Genomic DNA, 20,484 nt, shown 5'->3' with positions numbered 1-20,484 from the left:
TCAGACTCGGAGAAGACATCCCTCTTACGTTTGACTCACTTTCCAAACTTGTGTCTCAAGGGGTTTTCTAGGGAGAGCTGCCTCATTTAAAGGGTTGCAAGAAGTGTCAGTGTTAGGGTCCTTTGGACTTGAGGATTTAGAAATGTAGTGTGTGGAGAGGGGAGGCGAGAAGGGATGGTGATGGTGGTAAGTGGTTCCCTTTAAGGAAGAAGTCAACAGCAATTATTGAGTCCTGATTGTATAGGACATACACATTGCTGTACCAAAATGCACTATAAGGACTTGCAACTAAACAGGGATACTGCAAGTCACTGTGATTTAAAGTAGCATCATTAGGATGCTGAGGAAAATATAAACTAAGCCGTACTCTGCCAGGAAAAGAGAGTCTGGGGGAGATGTGTCTGCCTGCAGGGTACTTAGGTAGAAGGCTTAGATGATTGTGTTTGGCTCCTAAGAGCCACATTAAGACCAAAGGATAAAAATCAGTTGGAGGAACACAGAGCTTTCTAACAATCAGGACTGTTCAAAATTGGGCAAGGCTTTGTGGAAACGTGTACAAACTACACTGATACCTTTTGACTATATATTTAGAAATTTTCGTTGGATAATCTATAGAAAGTGCTTGGATATTAGATAAGAAAGTTGAACCAGATGTAACTTTTCTTTATGGCACCCTGACTCTGGTTTTAGCATTCAGATTTATTTATAAAAAGCATGCATGTATAAGTCATCTAAACCAGAGTAGTGAAAAGAACATGACACTCAAGGTCAGATAGTCCTGGGTCAGGATCTGAGTTCCATTATTTACCAGCTTTGTGAACTGCACCATTAGTTCTCATCTCCCTAAGCCTCAATTTTCTTATCTATAAAATGAGGATTAAAACATCTGTTTTGGAGGGTTGCTGTGAGGATCAGAACCATACATAGTAATGCACAATGAATTATATCTGCTATGGTGTTGTAGCTGATGAGGGATGACTCTGTTAGAGAAAACAAGTAAAGTCTAAGAGATTGTCATAGCCAAGAGGAACCTAATGAAAAATGACAAAGAAATGTAATGTTTTATCCTGGGTGTGATGCCGGAACAGAAAAAGGCCATTAGGTAAAAATTAAGAAAATTTTAATAAACACGGACTTTAGTTAATAATAATGAAAAAAATGGTTCAGAAGAAAACAGTTCTGGGTTCAGGGCCCAGCTTTGCCTCTTACTAGTTGTGTGTGATATTGGGCAAGTTACTCAAAAGAAGCCTCACTTTCTTTGTAAAATGGGAATAATAGTAGTATTTACCCCGTGTTATTATCATAAAGGTCAAATTAAAAAATCATATAAACCTATTGTCACAGTATATACAGTAACATTCAGTGTAAGTTAGCTACTAAAATGATGAATCTTCCATACATACATACATATTTGGAAGACGGTGAAGTAAACTTCAGGATTTTTGAGGAGTGTGGCTTAGCCTAAAGGAAGAAAAGCAGTATTATCACCGATTAAGCAAGTGCTGGTTACAAAAATTGGAGAAAAGCATATGTAGCATAGGAGGGTGTAAGGGTTCAGTATCTGTAATTATCATCTGTGACTTTAGGAAATTAGTGGATACAATGTCAAGCACCAGTTAGGAAAAGTAATTGGTATGAACCCACCAGGGCTGATCTTGTTTTCTGATAAATAGTGGAAAAAGATAAAACAAGGCAGATTTCAGAAGTAATAATCAAGATCTAATGTGGAGGGATGGTTAAATAAATGATAGTAAATATCTATGATGGGCTTTGCTGCATACACAGAAATCTTGATTTTGAAGCTTGATGATCCAGAAAACTCAAAACATAAGGTTAAGATTAAAAAGCAAGTTACAAAAGTGTACATATATGATGACTCAATTCTGTAAAATAAAATACATGTTTCTACACATAGAAAACATGGAAGATATACATTAATGACATTAATGATATGTTTCTCTGGAGTGGGGAAGAGGGAGGCTCACAGATGATTTCAATTTTGCTATTTGTAATTCTTTTGTCTTAAAACTTTGTGCAGTAAGCATATAATGCAAGCTATTATACTTTTTTAAAGTTGTAAAAGTGAAATCTAGGGAAAGAAGAGGAAAAGTACAGCCGCAAAGATTACTGTTCTCAGGACTGGAGAACAAACAGAACTTGGAACACTTTCCAGGAGCCTGTCATCTGGAGCTCTCTGGGGAGCTGCAATCTCCATTCAATGACTTATTTCCTGTTTTCTTTGCATCCAAATATTTATCATGGCACTGGGTAGGGAGATACTGCTTAGGAATCCTGCATTCCCTCATAAAAGTTTCTCTTTGAGAAAATCATCCAAGCCCTTAACAGAGAAGAGAGCCAGTAGGAAGGTATTTAAAGATCCTACAGGAGACACCTGTAAGACTGTCTCATTGGGAAAGTTCTCCTGCCTAAAAATGGAGTGATGGAGGTGGGGATGAAAGAACCAGAGGTGGTTTATCAGAGTCCCTTCCTGTCCAAAAAGAGAACTCAGAGTAAAGCAAATATTCAGCAGCTGGAATCAAGTTGAAATACATTTTGCATCTTATGGATTAATTAGCACCTTCCACAGAGATTCTGATTTAAATGGTTTGGAGAAAGACCTCTATGCTGATATTTTTTTAAGTGTTCCCCTAGGGATTACACTAGAACCACTGACGAACCTTTTGTCTATAAGTTTCCTGCTGCTCATATTCTGGTCATTTTATTATTTAGGTATGGCATCTCTGAAGGATAATCGAGAAAAGAAAAAACTTCTAAAGAATTAACATTACTTTCTTATTAATACACTGCCTCTTTCAAAGAGAGGTTAGAATTTATACTTATATGTAATCCTGGTAAGTTTTGACAATTGATGGCTGAAACTAGAGACTAAAATCAGTTGTTTTTCTTTTTTCCCTACTGATTTCATTTTCTCCTGCAATCATTTCCTGCTTTTCTCATTAGCATAGCTAATTGATGGTTAGTTGCACAAGAAGAGGCAGTGGTCTGTAATTTGAAGCATTGCTAATTAACTCTGATGCATCCATTCAATTTTAAGCTAAAATATCTGCATCTTTTTACAAACTCAGAATGATATTTCTAACTGGAAATATAAACAATACTCATCTTCATATGTTGTTGAACATTCAAGCTCTGTAGACATCTCACAGACTGTATAGTAGACCTTAGAATTCAAAGAGACAGCCTTGGTTTAAAGCCACACCAGTTCCAAAGGGCCATGCAAGCAGAACAAAAGAAATTGGACAGTGGTTTTCATAAGATAATAAGAAAACACTAGAAATAGAGTTATTTTTAAAATATATACATTTTACTGTTTCCTTTGCAATCACATGAATAGTACAGATAATTTAAACAATATAGATTAGAAAAACTACAAAACAAGAAAGAAAACTTTCTTCCATAATTTTGACATCTAGAGATAACTAGCAATAATAACATATGGGTTTATGTCCTTACAGTAATTTTTTATATGCAGAAAAAGTAGATTATACTGCTCTGTAACTTGCTCATTTCACTTAATATTATGAAGCATGTCATTAAATATTCTTCTATGATATTATTTTAATGTCAGTATTATCATAATTTATTTAATATCCTCTTTTTAGACTTTTCAATTGTCCCTAGGTTTTCACTATCATAAACCTCTGCTGTTACAGCTAAATGTTTGCACACTCTAGTAATTATTTCTTCGGGATAAAGTTCTAAATGCACAAGTGCTGGGCTAAACAATGTATAACATCGTAAGTCTTTATAACATAAGGTTAAAAGTGGTCTCCAGCTGAATTTTACTGATTTATACTGCTATTAGCAGTGGAAGAGATACCTTTTTACACCATTACTAACAATAAAAATAAAAATCTTTGAATAGTTTAAAGTAGTAGTTAATAGTGATTTTATAGGTGGTTGTTTGGGGTAATTTGGGATTTTTTAAGAGGTGGGCTAAGTGTTAAAGTTAAAAGCCTATCACACTCAAGTGGCTCTTCAAAATTTCTTGTCCTCTCTCCCCTTCCTACCCCACAGAACATAGCATCTGGCACTGTGTCTTGCAAACAGTGACTATTTAGTATTCTATATTACCCCAATGATACCATCTTTTCTTAAGGAGTTGATATCACTAAATTATGAAAGAAGATTTTTGTAACCTGTACTAAAGCACAAAACCAGTGCTTTAAAAGCTCTAGGTCTGTTAAAGTAAGTTGAAACTGTAAATATTTTTCCAGCCACTTATACAGCCATCTTCTTACAAACTTAATAATACAAATGCATAGTGTAGCTTTTAAAATTTATTTTCTTCCTATTTTTCCCCTTCTGGGTCTACATTCCTAAATTATATAGAAGTTTTATCTCAGCACCAAGTCTGATACATAGTACTTACTAAACAAATGGTAGGCATAGCTAAATCTAGGTGTCTACACAGAATAAGGACATTATTATATTTATTTCCCAAATAGTTTGTAAATTTTGTTCACAAAATATTGATACATTAATAACCATTTCTTTTTTAACTTAAATATATATGTACTTAACTTGTTAATTTGCAGCTTTTTAAAATATAATCATTTCAAAGCTATAAATTTCCCTCCAAGTAAGGCTTAAGAGACATCCTATGAGTTTTGCTTAATTATAATTTTCTTCTGATTCCCACTGTGATTTCCCTTGGACCATGAGTTAAAGTGTTCCTAAATCCTAAATACACATGATTTATGTAACTTCTTTGTTACTGATTTTTAAATCTAATTGCATTGTAGGTGGAGAATGTGATCTATAGTAGCCATCTTTTGAACTTTGTTGAGGATTGATTTATGGCCTTTTATGAAGTAAATATTCATAAATTTTTAGTGTGTGCTTGAAAAAATATGAATTTCTCCATTTGGGGATGTAGGTTCTAGGTATGTTCATCACATCAGGTATGTTAGTTACATTGTTTAAACTTCTATATCCTTACTGATTTTTTGCCTGCTTGATTTAAAAATTATGGAGAAATATGTTTAAGTCTTCTATTCTGATGGTGGATCTCTCTGGTTCTTCTTGTCATTATTTGCATTCTTTGTTTTATGTATTTTGAGACTATGTGACTGGGTGAATATTGATTAAAAGTTATCTGTTCTTGGTGAACAAATTCCTTTTATTATTGTTTAGTGACCTTTTATCTCTTGTACATTTTTTTGCTCTATTAAAGTTTATTTTACCTAATATTATTATAGGTGCATCCACTTTCTTTTGTAGTATTTGCTTCATCTAGCTATTTTTATCCATTTACATTCATCATCTTGCATGTTTTAGATGGTATCCATAGAATATTTAGCTATTTTTACTTATCATAATTACTGATATATTTGGATTTATTTCATGTTATTTTTCCTGCCTTCTGTATGCTTATTTTTCCCTTCTGTCCTCTCTGCTTTTTGCTTGATAAAGATTTTTCATTCTCATTTTTCCTATTTATTAACTTGGAAATTATGTATTCATCTTCTGTTTCAGTTTTTTTAATCCTAGAGATATCAACATGCATACATGACTTTTAAAGTAAAAATTAATACATTTACAGCCCTTGCACATAACGTTAAAACCTTAGGATATTTTAGAACTGTCCACCCCATCCCATCTTACATACTATTGTTATTATGTATTTTAAGTGTATTTTAAATCCACAAAATATTGCCATTATTTTTTCATCTAGTAATATTTGTTTAGATTTTCCCATATATTTGTCATTGTTTTTGCTCATCTAATTCTTCTTGCATTTCAGAAATTCCATCTGGGATTACTCTTATTCTTCTGAAAGTGCATCCTTTAAAATCCTCTTTATTCGAGGCCTGTTGGAGGAAAAGTCATCATCTGTCTGAAAATGTCTTTATTTCACCTTTGCTCTTGACAAAAAACGTTGCCAGATATTGATTTTTGTGTTGACAGCTACTTTCTCTTAGAATGCTGAGATTATCTTTCCCTCAGGACCTTCTGAATGCCTTCGCTGCTGTTGAGAAGTCAGCTGTTTGTCTGTATGTAATTCCCTTGCAGGTCTCCGTTGTTTTGCTCTGGCTGCTTTAAGGATTTTTCTCTGTCTTTGGAGTTCTGTGGTTTTAGTACAATATGTCTAGAGATTTTTTTTATCCTGCTTAAAATTCATGGGGCTACTTGAATCTGTGATTTGATATCTCTCATTAGCTCTAGAAAAGTCTCAGCCATTTATTCTTTAATTTCTCTCTCTCTCCACTCCTTCCCTCCCCCTAACCATCTCTCTCCGCTTTTCTCCTGTGATTCTAATTAGAAATATATTAATCCTTCTCACTCTAAGTCTCCTCCTCATCATTACTATTCATATTTTCTGCCACTTTGTTTCTTTGTGCTGCATATTGCATAATTTTTTCAGATCCATCTTTTAATTCACTGATGCTCAGTGCAGCTATATTTAATCAATTGTTAAAGTCATCATTTAAGTTTTTAACATTATATATTTTGTTCTTTTTAAAATATGTTTGATTACGTCTCGTAGTTTCTTGTTCTCTCCTATTTTCCATCTTTTATTGATTTAAACTGATTAAAAATAACTATTGAACATTCTATTTTTTATTTTTCCCATCTCTGAAGTCTGATTCTACTGTGTGTTATTCCTGCTAGATCTCACTAATAGTGACTTATTTTCTTATGTTATTTTTATAATTTTGACTGTATACATTCATAAGTCTTGGAACTTTTTCTATGGAAATACTTTAAAGCCTAGGCTGAAGGTGAATTTCTCCAGAGAGGATTTGCATTTGCTTATACCAGATGTCTATGGCATTATCTGCCCAAGGTAACTTTAAACTAAATTCATAGACTGAGGTTTTTTTGTTTTGCTTTGTTTAACAGCCAGTTAGAATGAATTCAGACAGCAAACATGTATGAGGGCCAATTTGTGGTTAGGAATTCTTAAGTTAGATGATTTTTCTCTTCCATCTGCACCTCAGTTTGAAATAGATACTTTTTAATGAAGTCACTTGGGCTTTATTATTTCTAGATTCCACTAACATTGACGGGACTCCTCCTTAGGCTTTCTCTCTTAATGCTGTGAAATTTGAAGGAAAATTCACCTTATTTGCTAAATATTTTCAAAGCAGAAACTAGATCCAGCCTACACTTACCTCTCTGCATTTCTGTTTTCACTTAGCTGAGACCCTTAGTATCTTTTACTAAATGGTCCATGCATCAGAGCACTTTTAAGAGTTTGAAAATAGTCTATCCAACATTTTCAGTTTTTCTTCAGTGGCTGGGTGCGATGGTTAATACGGAGTGTCAACTTGATTGGATCGAAGGATGCAAAGTATTGATCCTGGATGTGTCTCTGAGGGTGTTGCCAAAGGAGATTAACATTTGAGTCAGTGGGCTGGGAAAGGCAGACCCACCATTAATCTGGGTGAGCACCGTCTAATCAGCTGCCAGTGTGGCCAGAATATAAAAACAGGTAGAAAAATGTGAAAAGGCTAGATTGGCTTAGCCTCCCAGTTTACATCTTTCTCCTGTGCTGGATGGTTACTGCCCTCGAACACTGGACTCCAAGTTCTTCAGCTTTGGGACTCAGACTGGCTTCATTGCTCCTCAGCTTGCAGACAGCCTATTGTGGGACATCATGATCTCGTGAGTTAATACTACTTAATAAACTCCCCTTTATATATATATGTGTGTGTGTGTGTGTGTGTGTGTGTGTGTGTGTGTGTGTATCTTATTGGTTCTGTCCCTTTAGAGAACCTAGACTAATACAGTGGGTGAGCAGCATACTTCATCCACCACATCGTTAGAGATCATTGAGTTCTTAATGTCAAGACTCCTTTTAAAAATTTCAATTTTTCTGTGTAGATGCTAAATTAAAAAGTGTGAAACTTTATTTTTTGTAAATCTCAATCATTACAGTGATGAACAGGTTTGGTGTGGTTTCTTTCCTTCTCTCTTTCTTTCTTTCTTTGTCCTTTCTTTCCTTCTTTCTTTTTCTTTCCTTTTCTTTCGTCTTTCTGTCTTTCTTTCATCCTTCTGTCTTTTTTTTGTCTTTCTGTCCTTCTTTCGTTTCTTTTTTCAACACCGTAAAGTTCTTCTACCCATGGTATTCTTTTTGAGAATAAAGTAGAAGCCTGAGGCTAAAGACACAACAAAGGAGAAGAAAGTGATTTATAAAATTTGCTTATCACACATGCTTATTAAAGTATGTATAATCGTGTGTGCATAATTATAATGTCTTATCTTTGTCAGTCTTGGAATTTCAGAGATATTATTATTATAGGCTGAAACATTTTCTGCAAACCTTTGAAGACTTGAATAAAGCCAGCTGGTGAATTACAATGCAGGACGGAATAAGCACAAATTTACCAGATAATCTGGATATTTAATTAGCTGCTTGACTGCTGCTGATTACAAACCTCCCCCGCAATCCCCTTGGAAAGAGCTGCTCTCAATGTGCTCCACACAGTTAAGTCCTCTGAATGGGTAAAGATGGAGAAAGTTGGACTGATAGCAACTGCCATGCTAAATTCAGATGATCCACCTAAAACTTCCATCACTAGATCTGGAAAGGAGTTTTTACAGCATCTAATTCAGTGTTTTCCAAACCTTCCCTGCTCATAGTCTAATTTGGGTTAGGAGTGCTCATACAGTATAAAGATTCCTGGTTGCTAGCCAAGATCTGATGGATTAATATTCCTAGAGCAAGGGCCTGGAATCTGTATTTTAAAAAGCCATCTAGGAGATTTTAATCATCGATAAAATTTGGGAAACACTGATCTAGCATTGTTGAGAAAAACAAGACCCAGAGAGATGGGATGCCTAAGGTCACCCAGGTTTCCTGACTAGCTGTCTTGTATCCTTTTCTTTACCTCTATGGAAGGTTGTGGGGAAGGATAAAACTGACCTGTATCATCTGCCTCCAACTGCCCAGTCATGGCAGTGGGCACATGTGAGCACTTGGACAAGTTAAGAGAGCACCAAAGACATATGAGTTAGGGATTGTACTTTCCCTAATCATGAAGGATATTTTAAGGATCCTTATGAACAATCCTATGAAGGATCTTTTTAAGGATTAAACAGAACAAACTACTTCATTCTTCAAATCCTAGTGGTTACAGTGAAGGTCAACAGGATTTCACTGCGTTGCTTGTTTTCTTCCAGTTTCTACCTCATTCAAACTGGAAGTCCTTTTCACACAAAGCCTTGCCTAGTGTGATATCTCCTGGTGCACATTTAAACACCAGCCAAGGCTTATGCTTGGTAACTGGAGTTTTCTACGTAGAGAAAGGTGAGTGGCTTTAGGGCATGGTATTGTATGTATGCCTATTAATGTCTAGAGCCAGGAGTAAGTGCACAGGAGGGGTTCAAGTTTTCTGCTTGGAACTGAAGGGGACACTTCCAAGGAAAGAAAAAAGTTGGGGCATGCACAGGAGGGTTCTAGCATTCTGACCTTTTGTGCCTGATTTAAACTGGTATTTTCCCAAGAATGAATGCATTTGTGTGAAGCATTCCAAGAGTTGAGCCTCTTTTCAGAGAAAGGTTAATATTTTTCTAGGTGCCTACCCAAACTTTCATGGGAGAGTCCAACTTAATAAATTCCTCAAATAAACAGAACAAACAAAGGTTCACTTGTTTCCTGGGGAGAGCTGCCTCTGTGTTGAACAGAATGCATTTCATGAGGCTATAAGCAACTGCTGAGATGTTTGCATCTTCAGAAAGCTCAGAGATTCATCAATATTTACCTGGAGAGATTTCAAGTTGTTTTGCTGACATTATGTGGATTAATATTTCCTTGATAGAAATTTGGCAAATCCGGTTGCCGAATACCTCTATGCTAAATTTAAAAGGAATGGCAGAGTTACCCATGGGTAACAGTTTGATTCCAAACATGAACTTATCTTGTATCTAAAACCCAAGCTCTTTGGGGCTTCTATTCAGACACAGACAGAAGGAAATACAGCACAGGACTGAAAGAGGGTGCAATCTTAGAAGGAGCTCATGTTTCCAGCTTCTTCCCTTGTTTGTTTTAGGGAATCCATTAAATAACACCCCCTTTTCCCCAATTGAGAAATACAACACAGAGCTAGGTGAAAAATCAAAATACTAGCTTTATCGCTAGTAAAATCTAGAAAGGAGGATATGGCTAATATGTGAGCATCATAGGCTTCCTAATATTTTCTGATTTCTGAAAGAAATGTACCCACAAGCCTCAGGAAGAGCTGAGCAGCCACAGACATCTCCATCATAGGAAGAGGCTAAGCTTATCATGTGGTACAGAAGAGGCCAGAGTGCACCTCGGGGTAGACAGAGCTATAGAGTCAGCATACTCAGCCCCTGTTATGGACTGAATTGTGCCCCCCCCCGCGATTCATATATTGAAGTTCTAACCCCCAATATGGCTGTAGTTGGAGATAGGGCCTTGAGGAAGGTAATTAAGATTAAGTAGTGTCATAAGGATGGGGCCCTAATCTGATGGAATTGGTGTCCTTATAAGAAGAGGAAACAAGAACAGAGATAGATTCTCTCCCTGTGTGCATAGATGAAAGTTTATGTAAGTTCACAGTGGGAATGTGACTGTCTTCAAGTCAGGAAGCGAGGTCTCACCAGAAACCAACCGTGATGGCACCTTGATCATTTTAGCCCCCAGAAATGTGAGAAAATCAATTTCTGTTGACTAAGCCACCCAGTCTGTGGTATTTTGCTGTGGCAGCCCAAGCAGACTAATATAGCTCCTTTTTCTAAATTCACCAATTTATAAAATCACTAAGTTCACCAGTGGGAAGGAGAGAGGATATACACGTGCATCTGAAGAAAAATGGCAATTATTTAGTTCACATTTCCCCTTTTGGGGTATGGAATGGAAACAGCCTCCCTTTTGTGGAAATTTGAGGAGAGGAGAACAAGAATTCCTCCTTAACATGCTCCCCATGGGAATGCTGCCTCTAATTATTTCTGACAGGTGGCGTGTCCAGCCTCTGACCCAAATACCAAGGAACAAAGTCTCCTCCTCCTTAGGCATCCCACTCCACCTTTGGAGAGCTCAGGGAAAATTGCCTTCAACAAAATCTACGCCCTGCAGTGCTCCAACGTAAGCCACAGAAATCTAGGCTGAAGCTTCTCTCATTTCACAGATTTACAGACATTTAAGGATACCTGTCTCTTGCCTCCTTATTCTTCCCTTTCTTGAGTTAAACACACATGGGTCTCTTAATAGCACCGAGTGGTCCCCAGGACACTCTAGTGGGTCTCTAGCCATTGGGTCCTTCTGCGGGGGACCTTAACTCAGTACTCTAGCTCAGTCTGATTGGACAGGGATGGAGCAAGTTCTTTGTGCTACTTAGTTACTACACAACCACTGAGGCGAGACTCAGGTGTACTTGCAGCCCCGGACAGGCTGAGTAGCTTCCTTCCATGCTCTGAACATAGAGCCCTGTATGCACTGGTGCCCAGCTGAGGGCTCATAGGCCCCTGGACAAGCGTCTCAGGTAAGTAAATATTTGGTCTGTTATTCACCTCTTAGTGAATGTTCTGACATACTATTGAAAGCTCACAGAGAGTTGTCATTGGCCATAATCTCCAGGTCTCTGACCACCAAGTCACCCTACTCTATTATTGTGCCCTTCTTTTTTAAACCTAAATGTAAGACTTTGTTTGTTTGTTTTATCCTGGATACATTTTAGCGTTTTGGTTCCAGTCTGATTATAGCCCTTTCTTTCAAAGCCCCAGCTCCAAATCCCCTCACCTCCACTTTCTTATTCCATCCTCCTGCCTCCTGTCAACAGAGGATCTATTCCTAATATTTCACATTGGGTATGATGTGGGCACTAAACAATCAGAAAGGACACTAACCACAGTGCAGGGGGCTAAGGGAGAGGCCTGGGCCCCCTGCTGTATCAGGTTGTATTCCTTTTTGGGGGTTGGGGGTGGGGGCTAGATTACAGAAAGATCTAACGGGTCCTAATGGAGAGGCTGAGTTTGCTAAGCTGGTAGGGGAGGCGGCCTGCAGGTGTTCTGGACAGTGGCTATTACCAGTTGGTAAGGAACTACATCGGTATTGTATCAACTGTTGTGGGAACAGCTGATGGATCTTTTAAATCTGAGTTCTTCCTAGACTGAGGAAGCATGATGACCCTAATGCTCCTGGCAGGGAAATGGAGTTCAGAACTGTGACTTGCTCATGGTCGACAGGCAGAGAGTGGCGGACTCAGAATCTTAACTCTGATCTCCAGCTTTCACGCTCCTGCCTGTGGTCAAGTTCCCATGATTTGCCAGTGAATATGACCAGACAAGATGAAGTATAAGAGAAGTAACAGAAAATGAGCAAAAATATTTTTCCCAGAAGCCAGACACAAAGACACCTACTATGTGATTACAATGTATATGAAATTTCTAAAAAAGGCAAAACCCTGCAGACAGAAAGGAGATCTGTGGTCATAAGATGTCGGGGATATCTACTTTTTTGACTAAAAACAGGCAGGATGGAACTTTTTGGGTGACGGAAGTGTTAAAAAAAAACTGGATGGTGGTGCTTGCACAATCAGATGAATTTACTAAAATTCATCAAACTATATTTAAAGTGGGTGAATGTAATGTTATATAAACTCTACCTCAGTAAAGCTGTTGACAAGGATTTTTTTAAAAAGGAGGCCTGGCACAGTGGCTCACACCTATAATCCCAGCACTTTGGGAAGCCGAGGCGGGTGGATTGCTTAAGGTCAGGAGTTCAAGACCAGCCTGGCCAACGTGGTGAAACCCTGTCTCTACCAAAATACAAAAATTAGCTGGGCGTGGTGGTGGGCGCCTGTAATCCCAGCTACTAGGGAGGCTGAGGCAGGAGAATTGCTTGAACCCAGAAGGCAGAGGTTGCAGTGAGCCGAGATCGTGCCACTGCACTCCAGCCTGGGCGACAGAGCGAGACTCCATGTCAAATAAATAAATAAGTAAATAAATAAATAAACAAACTTTTAAAAATTAAAGAAGAAAGAAAGCATTTGCCAACATGAATTCTACTCCATTCTATTAGTACATATTGTTTCACAGTTCTCTAAGCACAGAAGTTAGGCACTTCAGGGTTGGTGTTAACTCTTTCTCACAAATGATCTCAGTTTATAGAGCCATTTTAAACGGCCAGTTTATTTCTAGCTGGTCCATAAGAAAATAACTGTCCCTCTGAAATCCCTTAGGACAGTGGTAACCCACATTATATTCATTCAAGAAGTCAATGAGTTTCAATTGTCTAAATATTTACTGATAGCCCACCCAGTGACAGGCACCTTTCAAGGGCAGTCTGGGACAGTTGCTGGCAGCAGATAGTTGGTACTAAACTGAAAATAGAGGACTTGAGGTTTGCGGCCTGGAAGCCAAAGTTTCAAGGAATAACCAAGAGAAGCAAATATAAAGCATATGACTTACTAATTAGCGAATTATCTGCAGAGACATTCTTTTTATTTAACATAATATGTTTTCAATGATTTTTTTGACAATAAACAGCATGTAATACAAGTGAAGTTTCAAATAAAAAAGAACCAGATCCAAGTTAGTTACTTAAAATGATAAAGCTTCCTGTTTTGAAACAGTAAACACTGAAATTTTTTCTTGCTTACAGGATGACTTAAAACTCATTTTCAGGTCTGGCTCCTTATTGCCAGACATTTCTCTCTGCCACACCATGTGTGTCTTGCTCTCTGTTCCATCTGTGGCTCCCTTCCAACAAAGCCTGCCTGGTATCTGCCTCAGAGTTCGCCCAAAAGAAACTTGGCATCGAGGTATGTCCCATCTCTTCATCTGAACTGCAGCTTTTACACAATGGTCTCTTCCGTTATTGATTGCTGGATAACACAGCATAGAGAACAGCAGTCATTTACTTGCTCACAAGGCTGTAATTTGGCCCAGACTCAGCAGGGGAGGCTTATTGCTGCTGCTTGTGGCATCACTTTGATTGTGCCTAAATGGCCTTGGGAGAATGGCCTCCCTCACCTGGCTGGCAGGTGGTGCTGTCTGTCAGCCAGGAGCTCAGCTGGAGCTGTCCAGCAAAATGGCCCAGTTCCCCTCCATGTGGCTCACCTGGGATTCTCATAGCATCGTAGCTGGATTCTGACAGATTCTTTGCTTGACCAAACTTTTGACAGGCTCCTGAAACTTCTCCTAGGCTTATCTGTACCCTTTTTGTAAAATCCACTTTTAGCAAGAGCCTTGCTAAGTCACTTTAGCAAGACCATCCCTTACTCCTTTCTGGATATCTGATCACTCTCAATATCTGACTGGTTCTTCAGCCTTCACCATCCCTGAGATAATGTCTGATCATCCTGGCCTGTCTTCAGCAAGGAATCCTGTTAGATCAAGTTAGTCAGAATCTTCCTTACCCCCTTATGTCTTGGTTTAGTAATTTTTTGTTCACTGACCCCATCTTGCTCCTTGGAATTCAGAGTTGAGCCCAAACTCTTCCCCACAGCAAAATTCCATTACAGTGCTTCCTATACCTATAGACAGAGCACACCCCCTCCATAAAGTCCATAAAGTCTTTCCTACCATGCCTTAACAAGTGTCATTGGATATTGTTTTAATATTTAATATTTCCAGGCAGAAACATTCTAAGAGACAAATACGGAGGTTGTAGATATCTTAAGGCCCAGCCTCATAAATTGCACAACATCACTATTGCCACATTCCATTGACCAAAACAGGTTGCAAGGCCAGCCCAGACTGCCTTTCAAAGCAAGGCATTGTAAAGAATTTTCAGCTACCTCTCCTCCACTGCAATATTTCTGACTCTAAAAAAATGCCTGTTCTTTTAAAATAGATTTCTTTTCTTGTCTTGTGGATTCTTTTTTCTTTTTAAATATTTACATATTTTTAACATATTCATTTTTATTACCCTTCAGAATGCTTTATTGTCACTGGCAGAAGGGTTTCCTTGTTGCTTTATAATCTTTGTTTGTGACCTCATCTTCATGAGAATCTTTTGCCTGCCCCCTTGTTCATGGAGGCAGTCCCATATTGTGGATAAATCTCCAGCCCAAGGAGAAAGTTTTTTTATTGTGCACATACATAGATAGAACAAGCTCTTTCTGACTCCTGGATTTTTGGTGTTAGGTGTTAGGATGGGAGGGAGGGCTTCCCACATCTGCTCAGTTCATCATCTTAATTTGAAGTTCCCATGATAATCTCTTTTCAATGACAAATCAAATTTAAGTCTCTCTTTTACTAGCTTGCCTCTGCCAGTATTTGCAGTTTCTTCCCAGATTTAAAATCATACCTAAACACTGTAGTGATTAATTTGAAAAGTTAATAGTGATTTGTTCACAGGTAGGAAGAAAGTCACTCCACTAGGACGAGGAAAATAGTAACACTATGCACTTAAACAAACAATGAAGTGGCCAGTTTCTGTAACATAAGTTGCAAATATTTTTCCCAGTTTGTCATCTATCTTTTAACTATCTTTATGATCATATTTTTAAATTTTTATGTATTAAGAGTTGGAATTGCTAAAATGTTCTTTTCTGGCTTCTAGTTTTGTGAGAAAAGAAGGTTTTGATCATTTTAATTATTCTCATCAGTGTCTTAGCTATTGGACCAGCTTCCCATTTACTCACTATATAGCACTGTGATCTTATTACTTTGTGAAATTGTTGTCATGTTTTTTTCTATATTATGTGATATAAGTGAGGGTTATGATGCATTTCCAAGCATGGGCACCATAAGAACATACTGTTTTCTCTAAAAAAGAACCAGAGCATGAAAACAGAAATACCACTATCATAGAACTTCAACCAACTAATAATACGCTCATCTTCCCATGTTCCTTTTGATTTATTCTTCGGTCTCCATTTTCTGCACACTCCTCATCAGACAGACAGCTGGGGAGGCCAGAGGCAGCCTCTGCTGAAAACCTCTCTTGGATGCTTGCTGCTGCCCCAGAGGAAGAGGGTGCAGTCTGCTTTGTCCAGACCTCAGGCTAAAGGTCAGCAGTGGCCCTTTTCACTCAAATGTGGATGAGCATGACTCACCAGGATCAGGGGACCCATGGATTAAGAGCCAAAGGTCCCTAGAAACAAGCACCTTTTATTGCCTACCATTGTTCTCTAAGCTTAACTCCCTCTGGGACTTATCAAGGGAATCAGCAGTGGACTCAAAGATCTTAATTGGTTCAGGCTTATTGCAGCCACATAATGGCCCCTATGGCTGATTTTTTCAGGAATCATTTGTTGAAAAAAACAGGAACACGTTTAAACTAGTTTAGGTAAAAACGGTTTATTGTATACATGGGACAGTCACAGATGCAGAGCACAAGCAAGGTTGATGTGTCTCACAGACACTGGAAGGTTGTCTGGCCCTTTCTGCCCTTTCTTTGAACTGCCTGGTTCTTTTCTGCTTCTCCTGGCACTCGCTGCTTCATGCTCTCTCTCTCACTTCCATGTCTCTGAGCACAGTTTCTTCTATTCTGAGTGCACACGGCCCTCCTGCCTCCAAATGGTGGTCTCAGCCTCCAAGTCTCTGTAAACTTCTTGCTCTGGGGTTGGAAAGCTTTGTCTGTAAAGAGTCAGATAGTCAATATTTTATGCTACCGAGATCCATAAAATATCTCCTGCAACTATTGACAGTCGCAGACATTATTAAACTAGCAAGCATTGCCAGATTTTGCCTATAGGCAATAGTTTGCCAGCCCCTGAACTAGCTCTTCTTAAACTTTTCCAAATTATTTGGAGAAAGAACCTGACTGATCCCCTGTGGGTCAGATGTTCATGCCAGTCATTTAGGGGAGAAGGTTTAGAGTTGCCCCTTTAACCTATGGGCTGGGAAGAAAGATGGGCTTTTCCAGCAGAGTGGCTCAATTTTGTTGTCTGAATGGGAGCAGAGGGAGTGTGCATGGCTCATTTCCAGGCTTCAGTATGAGTGTGGGTGAGAAAAATGTCCTAAATGCTGGGGCATGCTGGGTCTACATTAAGCTTTATATATATAAAAAAAAAAAATCTAAGCAGTCCCAATTCAGAACACTCAGATCCCTATAGTTGTGGCCTAAACCCAAGCTTTTCCATGTTTGCAGATGGTCAACAGAACTACAGGGACCTTCAGCTGGCTGCATAGGTCAAAGAATGGAGTCTCTGGTGCAAGAATGGAGACTCTGGTGCGAGAATGGAGTCTGGTGCAAGAATAGAGTTTTTTCATGCATCACACACTTAGATGTAACCTATAAAACATTTTATATGTTCCACTTTAATAACATATCCAGGTATTGAGTACAAGGAGTATGTTTGCCACAGCTCTGACCCTTGCATCCTATGTCATCTGTACAGGATGGGGAATGGAAGGAGCTGAGGTTCAGAATGTGCTTGGTGTGTTACTTCGTTGGTAATCAAAAGTAGCACATTTACATATTGGCACATCAAAATGTTCTTTTTTGTACATTGCTGCAGGTTAAGAAAGACACAGCAGGACCTGTGTAGAGTCAGAGAAGGGAAAAACAAGTATAGTCTGAGAAGGAAGGACTTCCACTCCTAAATATATAGCGAAAACCTACTCATCATCTTCTGGGTGGACAGAGCCTGGTTTGTATCACAGGAAGGGATATGGGAATCATGATGCTGTCACCAAATCAGGTATCTCACAAAGGATGATCAGAGGAGGTCTTTGGAAGCTGAGAGGATATAGATGAATTTTAGAGAAGATTAAAATCTTCTCTCTACACAATGGGAAGAAGTTAGCAGAGGTCTTTTACCTGGAAGAGCTGCACTGGCCAGCAATTGAAGTGACTATGCTCCCTTGCATGTTGAGAAGATGCAAAGTCAAGTGGCTGGAGAAACAGAACCACATTTGCTGAGTACCTACAGTGTGCTAGATGTTCCCCACATTATCTTGTGAATCCTCCAAATGGTCTTGCGATGTAGATATTAATTTTCCTGTTTTTAGAGATGAGCCAACTGGGACTCAGAGCATTTAAGTAACTTCCTCAAAATTCCTGTCAGTATGTAGCAGAGTTAGAGCTCAGTCTTGGGTCTTTCTGAAGTCAAAGCTTGTTTTCTTTTTGCTAAAGTAGCAGTTTTCAGTCCCATCAGACCCAAGGCCCCTTTTTATAATAAATATCTTGTAACGTCTTCTTTACTACCCTGAAAAAAAATCATTGAAAACTAGTTTCTTTTCTTTTTTTTTCTTTTTTTTTTTTTTTTTGAGATGGAGTCTCGCTCTGTCACCCAGGCTGGACTGCAGTGGCGTGATCTCGGCTCACTGCAACCTCTGTCTCCCAGGTTCAAGCGATTTTTCAGCCTCAGCCTCCCAAGTAGCTGGGACTACAGGTGCGTGCCACCACACCCAGCTAGTTTTTGTTTTTTTAGTAGATACAGGGTTTCACTATGTTGGCCAGGCTGGTCTCAACCTCCTGACCTCATGATCCGCCTTCCTTGGCCTCCCAAAGTGCTTGGATTACAGGCATAAGCCATCACACCGGGCCTGAAAACTAATCTTATGTATAGTACTTGGGTTTTGTTTGTTCGTTTGTTTTGTTTTTGTTTTTTGAGACAGGGTCTCACTCTGTTGCCCAGACCGGAGTGTAGTGGCAGGATCATGGCTCACTGTAGCCTCAACTTCCTGGGCTCAAGAAATCCTCCCACCTCAGCCTCCCAAGTAGCTGGGGCTACAGGTGCATACCACCATGCCTGGCTAATTTTTATTTTTTGTGGAAATGGGATTTTGCCATGTTGTCCAGGCTGGTCTCAAACTTCTGAGCTCAAGCGATCCTCCCACCTCGGTCTCCCAAAGTACTGGGATTACAGGCATGAGCCACTGCACCTGGCCTAGTACTTGCTTTTCTTAAAAAAGCAATAATATCTACATAAAAACTTGTACACAAATGTTTATAGTGGCATTACTCATAATAGCTAAAAAGTGGAAACGCCCAAACATTATCAACTGGATGATGGATACATATAGTCTATTCATACAGTGGAATATTATTCAGCAATAAAAAATGAATGAAATATTGATACATGCTACAACATAGAAGACTCTTGAAAACATTATGTTGAGTGAATGAAACCAGTCACAAAGAACAATATACCATGTGGTTCAATTTATATGAAATATCCAGAATAGGCAGATCCATAGAGATGGAAAGTAGATTAGTGGTTGCCTAGAGCTGGGGGATGGAGGGACTGAGGGTGAAATCTAAGGAAAGCAGGATTTTTTTTTTTTTTTTTTGAGACGAAGTCTCACTTTTGTCCCCCAGGCTGGAGTGCAATGGCACGATCTCGGCTCACTGGAACCTCTGCCTCCTGGGTTCAAGCGATTCTCCTGCGTCAGCCTCCCAAGTAGCTGGGATTACAGGCACCTGCCACCAAGCCCAGCTAATTTTTGTATTTTTAGTAGAGACAGGGTTTCACCACGTTGGCCAGGCTAGTCTTGAACTCCTGACCTCAGGTGATCTGCCTACCTCGGTCCCCCATAGTGCTGTGATACAGGTGTGAGCCACCGCGCCCGGCTGACCGAGCAGGATTTTTTTGAAGGGTGTAATGAAAGGATTCTAAAACTGATTGTGGTAATGGATGCACAATTGTGACTATACTAAAAACCATTGAGTTGTATACTTTAAGTGGGTAAATTGTATGGTGTGTGAATTATATCTCAATAAAGTACTTTTTAAAAAGCAATAAAATAATGTCTTGGCTGTAATGTAAATGAAACTAATTCATAATAATATAAACCATAACATGTAACTACATGCACAGCTACACAAGAAGACATGATCAAGTAGTCAGGGGCTTCAGCCTGTGTAGAATCCCCATAAATGTGACATTTACAAAATACAGACTGAATTGGTGTTTTATGTTGGTCACTCAACTATCATGAACAATATTGCCATTCATGAAGTGATTTTCCAAAATGATGAACGATCCTTGGGTAGGCAAACAATTTGCTTGGGTGAGTACGCAGCTTTCTCTCTTTTCTAAGTAGTAGTTATTATTTTTTGAACACTTACAATGTGCCAGGCACTTTTCATAAATTTATATTCAATTTTCACTGCAACCTTAAGAGACAAGCAGTCATTATTCCCGGTTTCCAGATGGAGGAACTTACCTGTGGATTTAAATAACTTGCAGAAGTCCATTAGCCACTCCTAGTATGGAGTCTGCTTCCCTAGTCATCCCTCTTTTGCACTTGCAGGACAGGGGCAGTCTATGGTCTCTGCATATGTCCCTGTTCCCTTCTGGCATCCCTACCCCTTAAACCCTCTGAATTCAGGACTGTGCATCACACACCTTGTCCTTCCTCCCTTCTTTCCCCATCTTATGACAGCCACACTCTCAGCAAGGAGAAAAGCCAACATTCAATGGCTCCACCAGGCAAAGATCAGCCACTCTGCACCACCGGCTGCCGGAGCACAGAACACAGCCCATGCTGAGGGCAGGTGGCAGAGCCACTGGACACATACACCTGTCTTGATGCCCAGCTTTGCTCTGGACACCTTCCATGTTGTGGAAGAAAAGCCAAGTTACTTCTTCCAGT

General features: G+C 39.0%; 1 annotated feature.

Moving 5' to 3' along the window:
- Positions 15,908 to 16,409: an enhancer, noted in NCBI's record as "NANOG hESC enhancer chr6:25635867-25636368 (GRCh37/hg19 assembly coordinates)". NCBI's record gives its function as "activates a minimal SCP1, AML or CMV promoter by ChIP-STARR-seq in primed H9 embryonic stem cells {active_cell/tissue: H9 hESC(primed)}" and the evidence as "EXISTENCE:reporter gene assay evidence [ECO:0000049][PMID:30033119]".

This window comes from Homo sapiens, chromosome 6 (genome assembly GCF_000001405.40).
Source record: "Homo sapiens chromosome 6, GRCh38.p14 Primary Assembly".
In the NCBI taxonomy this organism is placed as follows: domain Eukaryota; kingdom Metazoa; phylum Chordata; class Mammalia; order Primates; family Hominidae; genus Homo; species Homo sapiens.
This window is presented reverse-complemented; position numbering and strand designations above follow the sequence as displayed.